General features: G+C 35.5%; 1 protein-coding gene across 7 annotated transcripts in view, besides 1 other annotated feature; it reads right to left on the reverse strand.

Moving 5' to 3' along the window:
* The window catches only part of FAP (fibroblast activation protein alpha), a 72762-nt gene that overhangs the window by 43125 nt on the left and 15184 nt on the right, over positions 1-14453 (reverse strand). For 6 of the 7 annotated variants that reach the window (XR_001738668.3, XR_922891.3, NM_004460.5 and 3 more), the window contains 9 exons: positions 12715-12813; positions 11675-11769; positions 10658-10732; positions 9800-9852; positions 6045-6117; positions 5255-5375; positions 4178-4332; positions 2090-2193; positions 130-265 (listed from right to left, as the gene is read on the reverse strand). Coding sequence is in view for 5 of the 7 variants with exons in the window: in NM_004460.5 (NP_004451.2) it covers positions 130-265; positions 2090-2193; positions 4178-4332; positions 5255-5375; positions 6045-6117; positions 9800-9852; positions 10658-10732; positions 11675-11769; positions 12715-12813 (911 nt within the window). In the remaining 2 variants the exon portion in view is untranslated. The remainder of the gene's footprint in view (positions 1-129; positions 266-2089; positions 2194-4177; positions 4333-5254; positions 5376-6044; positions 6118-9799; positions 9853-10657; positions 10733-11674; positions 11770-12714; positions 12814-14453) is intronic. The other variant, NM_001291807.3, reaches the window with a different exon arrangement.
* Positions 304-473: an enhancer, noted in NCBI's record as "experimental_55025 CRE fragment used in MPRA reporter constructs". NCBI's record gives its function as "activates a minimal promoter by MPRAs in K562 erythroleukemia cells, with activity observed for the introgressed 2:163070707 variant allele {active_cell/tissue: K562}" and the evidence as "EXISTENCE:reporter gene assay evidence [ECO:0000049][PMID:34662402]".

Consider the following 14453-nt stretch of genomic DNA (forward strand, 5'->3'; position numbering starts at 1 on the left):
TTTGCAAAGCAGTTGGCAGTTGAATGCAGTAATCCTGGCTTTACAACATAAAATGTTAGCTATGGATGAGTCCCCACTATTGTGCCTTGATCTTCAGAAATACGTATCTGTGATCTTAATATACCCTACCTTTGGACAATCCCATGTCTGCCAGTCTTCCCTGAAGTCACATATAGACAGGACCGAAACATTCTGGACTCTTTTTAGCCACTGCAAACATACTCGTTCATCAGTAACCCACGTGAGCCAACTGAAATAATAATCACTGCAAATAAAATAGAAACAGGTAGTCACAACCATAAACCAGTTTCACACACAAATAATTTCTTAATTTTTGTTTTCTAAAGGATATATGTCATTATTATACATTACTTATTTAATAGGTAAGCAAGACAAAACATTCCTTTCTCTGGAGAGAAAGTTTAAATATCTCTACTTACTTAAAAAAATATCTATGAGAGTTTCTTCATCTAATGAAATCATTTCATATGTGAGTTTTCTCCCCGTTTCTGGATTTTAACATTTTAGAAAAGAATTTAAAACATAATGTCAAAGCTACTGATCAATCTAGAGGGGAAAAAAAGCATTAAACTTGCATTTTGCACAAGTAAACTCAATTTTTCACCTTATAATTAGTTGAGAGAGAGACAAGTGTGATAAAAGGATAATCTTTGTCTCTCAGCAGATTCATGTTGGAAGCTAAGTTTTAGCTGTGACTGTGGTCAGGTATTGAAATTCAGACTTGTGGAATAAATCACAGATGATGTATGCGAAATAACTCAAATAATGTTTGGCACATACTAGATGTCAGTGAATGGCAACGATGATTCCATGACTCTGAGCATGAACTAGTAGGTAGAGAACATCAACATAAAATGAATCACAAACTTCTGGAAAATTAATGTAAAGGAAATCACAAAGCTGGAAGGGACCTCAGGCTCAAATCCTGGCTTTATGTCCTAATAGTTATATACCTTTAGGCCAGTTACTTAACTCTTCTATTTTTATATAAAATCAGAATAATAATATTACCTATTTTAAAGAGTGCTGTAAAGATTGGCCGCGTGCTTAAACCGCTTAAGAACTATGTCTGCTACATGATGAGTGTTCAGAATACGTTTGCTACTACTATTTTATTGTTAGTATTTTACAGCTGTTCAAACAAGCCTCTGGACTCCTTGTGTTATGCTCATTTCATCTGCCACCTGTGGAGAATGACACTTTAAAAAAAAATGATGTATTGAGTCAAGTTTTCATCGACTCGATCAGGGTGGGGAATAGCAGATAATTCAAAAATATAAAGTCATGTTTGATTATACAAGAGTGGACTCAGCAAGGCCCAGTAGAAGCCTCTCATGGGGTTCTTTTCCCTATTAGTGATCAGTCATTTGAGCTTGGCTCTTCTTCGTGAAGCAGAAGGGGAAGACCCAAGATTGGCCCGCTAGGCATGGGGAACTGTTAAGAAAGCCCAACAGGCAGGGCCTGGGCACCTCTTCCCCTTAGCCACTTCAACCAGAAAGACCACAGAGGACTGACTGAAGGTCACTGTATTCTGGACTAGTCAGACAATCAGACATAGGGCATCATGCTGGGGAAGTGAGAATCCTTCACGTCCCTGCCTGCCTACAGTTCATCTCTAGACAATTCTAAAACCAGATAAATGAGAATAGCCTGCTTCATTGTGAAAAATGCTAATTTTTGGAGAGGGTCAGCTTATCTTCTCTTATTTATCATACACATGTGATCCACATAGATCCACAAACCCTGGCTTGAGATAAAGTCAGCCAAACTTGAAAGAAGCCAGGGTGAGGACGTACATGAATTTTACTGTCTGCTTGTTGGTCCCAAGTTCACATCTGTACATCTGAGGCAAGTTTCACTGAGATTGATCACCGAGGTCACGTTTATATGTGTAAAAGGGCTAATTTTGAAAAACCAATTAAGGAAACTTATTTGTCAATTTTAATTTTGTATGTCTTTAGCTTTGTGTGCAACTCTTATCTACTTATTTGTTTTTGCTTCTAGCATGCACAGCATAAATGCACTAGAATATAGGATAGAAAGATGGGAGGGATCTGAGATGAACTACCTTGAGGCTATCATTGCTGGAACAGGCACTTCCTGGGGACCTACATACGCAGGGTAAGTGGTATCGATAATAAATATCCGAACAACGGGATTCTTAGCTCCAGCCTGCCAAGAAAATTGAGATATATAAGCTCATAAAATTCCAATTATCACCAACATTTTAAAGAAACTTTAGGAATTTAGATATATTTTTCTAAGCGAACAATCTTATGTATATCACTGTGGAATACATTCTATTTATAACACGACAAGGAATCTCATTTCAATTTTACCTGCAGGGCAATTACAAATGTTGTGTCAACCAGAGCAAAACTATGTGTTTTAACTGCCTAATGAGAGAGCTTTAAAATTTATAGGGAAAATCATTTTGGATATGAAAATGCAGTTCTGTGAACCATATTCTGTTTTCTGATTTCCAAGACAGATCTCTCTCATTTTTATTATTGGGATAATTATAATAATCTGTATACCAAGGAGAGTTCAGAGGGTGATTAATTTGAGAGGAGAATGGAAAGAAAAATAAATGAAAGACACTTTTTGCTTTTGCCATATGATTTGGTCTAGGACAATCACCAAATGCTCAGTCTCCTACCTGCTTGCATTATTACTGCCACCATCTCCAAAAGGTTAGGGAAATTTCACCTCCAAATGAAGTATCCATGAGATTTATACTTTTCTTGTTTTGTGCTTTCTATACTACTGTATGCTTAAAATTTACATGACAGTATAGCTCATACCTAGACAGTTTCTTAGAGTTCCTCTGTTATTTTGCTGTAGAAAGAGAGAATCTTGGAGTTGTAATAAAATTTAAATTCATGAAATGTAGGTGCACAGTATGTAATGACTCAGTGCTGTTTGAATTCATCCAAAGAACTGTTCAACGTCTCTTAGGACCTCCGTTTCACTCCCAAGTTTATCAGAAACTCCCTTAGTTTTTGGGATGGTCTCACGTCTCCACCTAACGCCAGATGTTTTAGCAACCTTAAGCCTCAAGGAAATATGAGAATGTGGGTCCCAACTTCCCAATCAGTGTCAGTCACTCTTCAGTTCTGGGTTCCCCGTCTCTTCCTGCTCCCATAGGTCCTCCCAAAGATCTGAGTTCTTTTACATCTTGGGTTCCCCCAAAATGTGAGGCCTGTCCCAAACATCTCCAGCTTTTAGAGTTTTTACACAGCTTTTAGACTTTTAACATAAATATTACACTGTCTGCAATTCTATTTCTTTCTCTATGGCCACTTTGGCTTGCTTAGAATTCACTTGTGTGTATACCACATCCAACCGTCTTTGTCACCCAGGGACCCACTGTGTCCAGCCACGACAATATTCCCCTTGGCAAGTAAAAGCAATAGCATCCAAAGAACAAAGAAGTGAATTCTAAAATCGCATCCGATTCCTTGTGCAAGAGGTAAATTTGTACTTTGATTCCATTTTTTCTGATATCATTTTTACATTGAAATTAGGATATAATGCTTCTTCACTGAGACCTGACCATTCTCCTACTGCACACTCAGGTCTCCTCCCTCCAGATGTGAAACTCAATAAAAAGAATGTATAACAACTCTACAATGTTAAATATCCAAAAACTATGGGTTCACACCATGTCTACTTCCTTCAAGGGAGAAATTGAGACTTATAAATTTAACCTATCTTGTACATCCAGAAAGGACCATAACCCATGCCTGCTTCTACCTGACAGGAACATCAAATTCAGCATTTGTATTTCATATTCTAGTTTGCATTTACATGAGAATTCAAGAGAGAATTGCAAAACAGAACTTTACCCTGAATTTGGAGCATGAAATATGAAAAAAATTAAAATTAAGTTAAGCTTGTTTTTCCTCCATGATCAAGACCATATGTTTTTCAAAGATTCTGCAATAGATTTTGCAAAGACTACTTCATCCAGCACAACCAGATGTCCAAAGCAACAGATGTCCACATAAATAATAGAGCACAGTACAATGTTTGCCTTACAATGCTCAAGGATAAGAAGCTCTCCAAACTTGTTGATCCCACCTTTACTCATGGTAAATCATTGCTCATTTTGATACCAGGAAAATGAAAGCATCGCTGAAAGTATTCAACATACCTTTGGGTATGGAATATTTATTGTTCTAGGATATTGTTCATCGCCATAATAGGAATAGGCAATAACTGGTATATCCGTATCATTAAATTCCGCATATGCCAAAAATTTTCCATTAGGAGACCACCAGAGAGCATATTTTGTAGCAAGCATTTCCTCTGAAAAATAAGTACTAGGATATTAACTATAATTACATCTTACTCTTAAAATCATTGTAAATACTTCTAAATAGCTATTTATCAACTGAAATAATTTATTTAATGTGGATGTGACATATGTCATACTTTGGTTATTAAAAAATTACATAATCTGAGTTAAGAGGAATAGTTTACCCTTTCACTCTATATCAAACATCAATTAGCCTTGTTAGAAAATGACATTAATCAGAAATGTAATTTTTTAAATAAATAATAAACATGTTGGCACTAATTAATTTTTTCTTTCAGGGCAGTTTCAGGTTTTTTAGTCACCTAAGATAGCCAAAACAGAAAGAACTATAATTGTACTAGAGAGTGACATAAACATTGAAAGTTACATTTCCCTCCTAAGAGTTAAAAAAAACCAAAAACACAGTTAGTTTAGATAGATAGATAGATAGATAGATAGATAGATAGATAGATAAATAGATAGAGACTAGAAGTCTCTTTAAAGTCCAATTAAGTCCTGAATTCTACATGACCTAGAATGAGAACAAAATCAACAGAGTATCAGAAAGTAAAAATATGTTCCCATAAGATAACATAGTCAGTTGTTTAGTTTTGAAAAAAAAAAATTTCTAAAGAAAAAGTAAACATGAGAAAATGTACTAATGCGGCACCTGAGGACCATATACTTTTTTGGATTATAAATCATTACTACCACTTCATAGTGATGTTATTGAGAATCAATTCTACCAGTTTTCTGATAACAAGAATTTGTTCTTTTAAAATACGTATGCCCTATTCGTAACCTAGAGACAATTTTCAGCAATGCTACCCTTCATGGAAATAAGATACTACTCATCTAAATCTTACTAAATATATGAAATTATTTTAAATTAAAAGCCTAAAGCATTAGCAGTAGAAAAGGAATACAGCTTACCTTCATAAACCCAGTCTGGGATTCCATTAAATATTTTATTTTCTCTTCCATTAAATGTTATTTGAAAAGGTGGATCTCCTGGTCTTTGTTTCAAATAGATATTGTTTTGATAGACATATGCCTAAAAGTGGTGGTAAGGGGAAATTCCACAACAAATTAAATGAAGGCTGTATATTTGTTTTAATTATTCCTCTAATACCTTTAAACAGAGTGGTAATAAAGATACAAAAAAGATTCACAACTAAAATACCATTTTAATAGGTCAAAAAATCCAACCAACTCACATTAACATCAATTATGAATTTTAAAGTCTGAATCAAATAAAAAATAAAGCCTATTATTTTCTTAGTTGTTTCATTAACCCCAAATAAATAATTATGTATATTGACAGAAAGTCGAATAAATCTCTGAATATTAATAGCTAGCCAGATCTAATCTTTATTTAGAGTCCTTAAATAAGAGCTTGGACCAAATTTCATGTTGTCTGAAGCTAGTCTGGGAAACTTGTGAAAACCATATTTTTCCTGAGCTTTCTGGCACAACGCATTCTGGCTGAGTATAAGGATAAAGTTTTTGACTGCTATATTTAAAGAAGTCTATCCATGAGCTTGAGATTTTGCGGAATTCTCAGATGGGTTTCAATTTATCAAAACTCTTCCCGTTTTTAACCACTAAAATAGTCATGAATGTATTTTTTTTTCTTTCAGGCAGGGAAATTTAACAAAGGCCAAAATCAAATGGCTCCTCTTTTATTTACATGATTAAACACTTCAAAAATTTAAACACTTACTAATTTACTCCCAACAGGCGACCAGCATAAATACTGAATTGGACGAGGAAGCTCATTTCCTCTTACAAATTCTCTAGAAGGAAAGAAAGAAAGAAAAACAACAAACCTTGCTGTTTAATGCAAAAAAATAATAATCTGTATGAACAGAAAAAATAAACAAACAATGAAAATTAAGGATCATTCCCTCTGCACCCACAAACCTAATGAAAAGAATGCAGGAATGAAGAACTGGAGACATAGGTGTTGATTGCTGTTCTTCCAGTAGTTACTTAAAAGTCACTTAACTTTACTGGGTGTCAGTTTTCTGACCTTTATAGTGAGGTGAATGGATTAAATACTTACAGACTGTCAAAGTGGAGAAGATCTCTAGAAATTATCTAATACAGTCCTCTCATTTTATAGAAAGTAAATATGAGGTTTAGAGAGCTGATAGAACTTTTTAAGACCACATTGCTAGTTCTTGGCAGACCTTGAATTAAACTCAAGTCCTTTTAACCCCTGGGATTGTAAAATTTGCACACACTAGACTGAAATGGTCACTGAAGTGCCTTCCAGCTCTGAAATTCTATAATTGTGCTGAAGTTTAGTATGTGCTCTTCTACATTCTCATTCACAACCCCCATCTCTGTGAATGCATATGCATTTCAAATTTTTGAAAATAAGATGCCATTTGACAATCTCCCCAGGGATCTGACTTGAAATCAGAAAAGGAAAGGAACATCTGATCTCAAGCTAAACTGAAAAACGGATTGTATACTGGGCAGTATGCCTTAAGCTTGTAAAGTCCTCCACCCATGGGGAAATTTCAAATAGTCTATTGGCCAAAACTCTCACTTTGATGCTTAGAGTCACTCTGCAAGCACTCAAGTGACTTGCATTGTGGAGCTTTTGTAGTTCTTCAGCAAGAATGCATTCAGACTTTTATAAGTGTTGCAGAGTCGTAGGATGTCATGCTTACTTTTTGACTTTTGTCATCTTGAAGATTGTATTAACAGTTTCATCGAGACTGCCTTCGTGGGAAAGCAGAGCAAGACCTGCCGCCCAAGCACAATTTGAAGAGCCTCAAAAAAGACTCCTGCCCAACCCCTCCAAAAAAAGCTCTCCAACCTGGAGCTAACATGTGCCTGACATTTCTGCCTTTCCCATTCTTTTAATATTTGGGCAATTGTGAAGATCTGTAACACACACTGCCTTGATGTAACTTTTTAGGTGCCTGCATGAGACCTAGCAAGTAGCAAGGGAACATGGCATAGTTTTGAGTGGGGAGAGTGATTCCCATGGAAAGTGACCATTGGTGCTGCAATGAGAGTCCTGGCCGCCAGAGGGCAGTACATGAGCACCAGGCCCCTGGGTGATCGGGAACATGTTGAAAGGGATGCAAGAGCCCAGTTAAAAGATTGACCCAGGCCTGGCCGGCTCGCTCACGCCAGTAATCCCAGCACTTTGGGCGGCGGATTTCTTGAGGCCAGGAGTTCGAGACCAGCCTGGCCAATATGGAGAAACCCCGTCCCCACAGAAACACAAAAATTAGCAGTGGTGGCACAAGCCTGTAATCCTAGCTACTTAGGAGGCTGAGGCGGGAGAATTGCTTAAACCCGGGAGGAGGAGGTTGCAGTGAGCCGAGATCACACCACTGCACTCCAGCTTGGGCGACAGAACGAGACCCTGTCTCAAAAAAAAAAATAAGAAGACATTCTTCACCTGGTTCACAATTTGTTCTCAAGCTAGTGCTCATGTTACCTTTCATACTGTAACATTGTCTCAGTTTTCTACATACAGTGGAATTATCTATGCAATCACACAAGCAGCACTAAGCTAAAAATCTCAGCGCATGTCTCAAGCCATCACAGCTGCCATTTTCTGTTTTCTGAGTCACTAAAGGTATGAGAAAAGGCGAGGGAGGATGCTTTACAAAGGCGTTCATCTCCTCAGTTTTGCCTACCTAGCTTGAAACCAGTAGTTTTGTTTTCTCTATGCTAGATTTTTATAGAGTCTTCAAAGGCATATAAAAGACTTGAAATTGGTGGTATTCAGCGATGCCTAGAATCTCAAACAAGTTTGCCATCCATCCTTCACTTCCTAAATTATGCTGTATTTACCTGACCACCCCCCCACCAAAAAATCTGAAATACTAGATAGTTGTGCAGAAAACAAAGAAACAAACAAAACCAGTGATTTGATTAAATTCACTGCAGAGAATCTAAATGTTTAATGTGATTTTAGGCCATAAAGTTTACATAACCCATGATTAAAATATTAGGATTATCATCTTTTTGAATGCTGTTCAATTTGGCGAGCCTCACAAAAGAATTTCAAAATGATTAAAAGAAAAACAAAGACATGATGAGAGCTTTGAGAAACTGGACTGAAAGACTAAGATTCCCCACTCACTAATCGAACGTTTCTTAAGAGTAGAGCTGGTGCCCCAAGCTCATTTGCATCTCATTGTTATATGTGTTTCACATAGAAGGGGCTCAATAAATATTTCTTAAATTTGGTGATGATATGGATTCGGAGACAAGAAGGACTCAGAATGCATTAGATGGATTTTAGATTCTACTTTAAAAAGCAGTTCCTGTTTCTTAATTTGACAGTTTATCAGAGTAATTCTTTTCTGAAAATTTGAAAGAAGTAGATAGATAATTTTTTAAAAAATTTTTGTGCTCTTGCTAGACAAAAGGGGAAATAGACCAGAAGATTTTTTTTCAATACCTCTTCAAGCCATATAATTATTTCCCCTTTTATATAACAGCAAACAAGATATCATATTAAGATGAGTAGCTAAGGCAATTCATTGTCCACACTTAGCCAGGGTGATTTTTCTAAAGTGCTAATCTGATCATGTCATTTTCCATTTAAAACCTTTGAATGAATCCTTATTGTCATCAGAAAGAAAGATCTAAACTCATTTTAATTATTTCCTCATTATTATTTGGCCTATGCTTCCTGGCCTTGGCTGTTCCCCAACCTTACACCACCTCCTACTAGTCAGCAGGCCCCTCCCTCAATTTCAAACAAATTGACCTACTTTGCATTTCTCAAACGCACAATGCTCTCCCTCCCCATTTTAGGCCTTTACATATTCTTCTTGCTGCCAGAAATTCTCTTCGTCAATGCTTCGCCTATCTGCACATTCATTTAATTTTTTCTTTTAAATGGTAAATGTTTCAAACAGTTTATATGTATATATATATATGGAAAATGGTACTTGTCTGACAATTTATCTACCAACTAAATTCAAAAGAACATTTAGTATTTTACACGTCAGATATTTTTCTATTTTAAAAATAATGTTAACATTTTGTCATTTTTATAATAATTAATTTTAAAACAGTTAATGGAGTACGTGTTCAGACACAACTAATGCTACATCTCTCTCCCGCCCTTCCTCCTCCCATCAGTGAAATAGCCACTCTCCTAAAAATAGTGTCTCATTTCCAAGAATGTTTTTGTGCTTTCCTATATATGTTTTTTCCATAAATAGCACATGTTTAATCTGATCTTCAAAAACAGAAAATCCAAAACTATATTGTGAATAAAAATATAAAATATTAGTCAAATAAAGAGGTGGGTATCCCATATAAGTATTTTCTTGAATTTTGTAAGCTTTATGGGTACATACATACTGTATTACTAAAAAGTAAGAAACAAAGATCATTAAGAAGATAAAGTCTTCTTAACCCCAAATCATAGTTTGGAATGAAAACATTCTAGGTATTAGATTTAAGTAGTATTAATAAACAGAGGTGATTTACCCATTGCTAAGGTCATAGATGTAATATGTTGCTGTGTAAGAGTATCTCCAAAGCTGTCAGAAAGAAGAAAGACAAAAAACAAATTGCAGTTGTTAAAAAGCTTATATCAATAATGTATAATCATATAGCATCCAATTCAAAGTTCAGAATTATAAAAGGACTACTTTCACAAGGCACTAGGAAGAATATGTTTCAATTCCAAATGAGTCTTCATTTAAAGAGTCTTACTGTGGACTTTTGTGCCGTTTGTGCAAGTTCCAGAACTAATCTCAGCAGTGATTCAACCCTCACTCCATAAAAAGCATATCCAAAGAAATTTCCTAACATAAAAAGCTTATCTTTGCATACTCTACCCCAGAAATTTTCCTTTCATGTTTTACCTGTATTGAAGTAAAACCACAATGATTTCCACAGCCTATAAGGATTACCCTGCATCTGGATAATTCATTCTAATTATACCCTTTAAAATTGGGTAAAGAGAATTTCATTCAACATGTATTTTTGATGCAAAATGCTTGCCTTTCTTTGAGTACAGTTTTAAAAATAATAATTGAAAAATAAATAAGAATATTTAGCTTATAATTCTTCTTAAAGCTCTTTGTTTTCTTGTTAAGTATGTTTGTGCTGTTGTTAATAAATGATGCAAGTATTATTTTGGACTCTGTTCCTTAAAGCACTTTCACGCTTAAAACAAACAAGCTCCATAAGATTGAAACATATCATGCTGAAGATTATTGGTGACGAGGGCCTGAATATTTAGAGATAAAGACAGACTCTTGCTTTCTCTCACTTTTTTTAAACCACCTTGTGGATTAGTAGGAGATACAATTGGATATAACCAAATTAAATAGTTGATACCTTTGAATAATCACTTTCTAGATATACAAATTGCCGATCAGGTGATAAGCCGTAATTTGAAGCATTCACACTTTTCTGAAATTATGAAGAGGTTGATTAGAATACAGAAAAGATAACAAAGAACCATGTAAATTTGTAGTTTTAAAAGAATATTATATTATCAACATACTCCTACATGCATAGACTTTCAATGCAATTGAAAAAAATATTTTGTGGAACTTAACTATAATTCAAAGAAATTTACTAGATACTATGGGAGAAGGATGCAAGAGATAATATATACTTTGTGATTTCAAGAAACATAAACTTTCTAAGGAGTAACATACTACAAATTAGGATGTTCTATAAAAGAGATTCAATATAGCAATTGCAAAATTATTAAGAAAGAAATGATTGAATTCAAATGAGAGGATTATTGATTGCAAAGAGAAAGAGAGTATTATCTAAACTTGGTTTCAAAAGAATAGTAGGTTTTTCAGGGTGGAGAAAGTTGGAGGACTGGGAGCCCAGTGGGACAGAACAGTTAAGTGCCCATACTTTATAGCTACCACTTATTAAGCACTTATTCTATGTTAGGCACTGCCCTAAGCACTTGCAAATGTTATTTCATTTAATTCTTTTATTAACCAAAAGAGGCATTATTATTCCTACTTTACCAAGGAAAATACCGAGGCATAGTAAGATTGCTGTAGTGAAACCCCTTACCTAACCTTTCACGACCAGTAAGGGACTGAGCCAGGATTTGAACCTCAATTGGCTGACACTAAGGACTGAGTTCTTAACTCCTATCTTATGCTATACTATATTCAAAGAGGAGGAAAGATGCTAGTTGATTTACAAGAAGGCAAAGACAGTAGTCTAATGGGACTAGCAGACAGAACGGGAAGACTCTAGTGGAGTATGGAGCTGGGAAGGCAAGTTGTGTCCAGATCAGGTGCTAAGACTTTGAACTCTGTTTCTTGGTCAATGAAGAGTGGGCAAAGGTTTCTGAGGGGGAAGATGATGTTGGATACATACCATGGTTCTATTACTCAAAATGGTATATGATTGTCCTGTTTCAATATTATAAAGTACTATATTGTTATCTGCAGATTGATGAAGATATTCTTGTCCTTTAAACAAGAAAGAAAACAAAATGTAAATGATCTCTCTTAACATGAAATACATTCCTAACAAAAGAAACCTCTCTATTTCACAGACCTACTTTGTTTTTCCTCTCTGTCCAGTACATATTGCTTTGTGATATGTAAAATAGTAAGTTGGTGGTAGAGGAAGAAGGTAGAATGCTTTGTTCTACTTCACACAAAGATGCCACATTTGCAAACAGCAGCCCTATTTTAGCCGATTCAGGGTGCTTAGGAACACAATTTTGTTTTCTCTGGGTTACAAAGGGGATAAACTAGTTTGAAGTGTATATTTCTTTTGCAGTAATAAACATAAATTACATTTAAGTTGTGTTTGGTTCAACTTAAAACTCACTTTGTATTAATTTTATTTTCTAAAGAGAAAAAATTAAAATATTCCATTTTGTTCAGTGACACTTAAGATACTCAACTAAAATGTCATAGACTATTTAGTTGATCTCACTATTTATTTGATTAGATTTGCTTTATAACATCCTATTTTGAAAAGCTGTATGAAAATACCGATTTCATGACCCTTAAAGGGTTCATTGTCAGATTGAGATTTGTCTGTTTTCCAGATTATCCAGATTAATAATGGAATTTCTCTTTTGGTAAAATTTTTGTGACTTCTCCTAAATAGGAATATATCTACCATTCTCAAAAGTGATTACAGAAGTTCAAATTATTTCAACAATGCATTTTCAACTTTTCCTTCTCTATTTAAAACTCTATTGGCCTCATTACTATGGCGCAAATCCAGTATGAATGGTTTTGTCAAAAGCGCTTTTTTGAGCACTTGAATCATTCAGATAATTGTTCTTTTTGTACATTTCAACTGATACGGCTTCAGTTACTATAGAGATGTATTGGCACTAAAATAAAAACCAAACAAAATACATAAAAAAAACCCCTAAAGATAAATAATGCACTTACCTGAAATCCAGTTTGGAAAAAATGTTTTATAAGAAAATGTTCCATTTAAAATATCCTTCAGTGTGAGTGCTCTCATTGTATTTTCTTCAGAGTTATGAACTTTGGGGGAAGAGCAAATACATCCTTATTAAAAAGAAGGTTAACAACTCAAATAAATTCTAAGCCTGGCCTTCATCTGTTCTTTCTTATATAGTAATAAGATCTGCTGTTTGCTAAGTGGTTGTTGAACTCCTATCATCATAACTATTATTATTAATAGTAGTATCTCCTTTTTTGTAGATACAGTAATTAAGAATTAGGGAGGTAGTTTCACTGCCTGGAAGGGAAAACTGGCTGGAAACTGTAGAGGAAGATAAAGATTACAGAGGAAGGCCATGCAGAGTAGCTGGGGCATGATTCTTCAGGCAGTGAAGAGTTGTCAAGGTTTTCCAGAAGGAAGATGAGATGAGGTTCCAACAACTCTAGTCCTTGCAGAGCTGGGATTACAGACCATGTAGGTTTGGCTAAAATCCCAGTCTCTTATGCAGCTCACTGTATTTCCTCATATAGGTTTGGTTCAGATTTCAACTGATTTATCAATGATGTATTTTAGCATCCCAGTTGGTCAAATGAGATTGGCCAGAACCCTTACCTTCAGAAATCTCAAGAAAGACATTATGAATGTAGGTAATTTTCTCATACTATGGATTTTTATATAAAGAAAGTAGACCAAAAGAAAAGAAAACCCCTTGATCTATGCAAAATATCTTAGAAATTCCAAGAGTAGAGGGTTTTCTGTAGAAAAACTAATCTAATGCAGCTCACAAACCACAAACAAATTCAATCTATATTTGAATACTTCAAAACCATTGTGTTTTTCAAACATGATCTTATTCTCAGAACAAACATTCATTACAGAGCCCTGAAGCAGTCAGATACACCAGACAGATAATAAGGCAACCAAAGCCCAATGCCCTTTTTTATCAATATTGCCATTCTCCATCTCTCCCACCTTACCCCTTCCACAGGCCACTAAAACTTATAGGAAGATCCTATACCTTGAATGCCATTTATGAATCTGGTATTTGCCCAGGTGAGAACAAAACTGTCAAAGATGGGAGCTGTTTAACTTTATCCTGCTATAAAACTCGTAGCCCTCCATGACTCTTCCAGTAAAGACCACAGATGATGATCTGGTTGGACTACAGACACCGGCTGGTGTGGGGCAGTCTACCCTGCCAGCTCTTCTTGCTCCTCTCTCATTACTTTCTAGCCACTAACAAGCCAGTCTTTCTTTTCCTCAAATACTCTTTCTGTAGGGTGTCTACAGCCTTTTCTAGTCTCTCTCCTTTAATGCTCAATCCAAAAGCTATATACTTCCTCTGAGAAGCCCTTTCTGACCCCCTGGTTTAGATCAGGTTTCCTTTTATACATTTCCGTAGAGCATGTTCCTTGCTTTTACAACACTCCTCTTGGTTTGTAATCGTGTGTATATTTGAGTGATTATTTGATTACTGTTTTCCCACCTCCCTCTGTATAATCAAAACAGTTACCATAAGGCCAGGAATCATGTCTTGTTTTTCTCATAGCACATCCCAAGTGTCTAGCACATACAGGCATCTAATAAATAGTTGTTGAACAAATGAATGCATGAAATGAAGGCTGGCTGGATGGCTGGATGGCTGGTTGGGTGGCTGGCTGGATGAGATGTGTGCCTTTTCTGAATTCCCTGTGTGGTTTTTGGTAAGTAGATCTCTGGT

Source organism: Homo sapiens, chromosome 2, assembly GCF_000001405.40.
Source record: "Homo sapiens chromosome 2, GRCh38.p14 Primary Assembly".
Taxonomy (NCBI): Eukaryota; Metazoa; Chordata; class Mammalia; order Primates; family Hominidae; genus Homo; species Homo sapiens.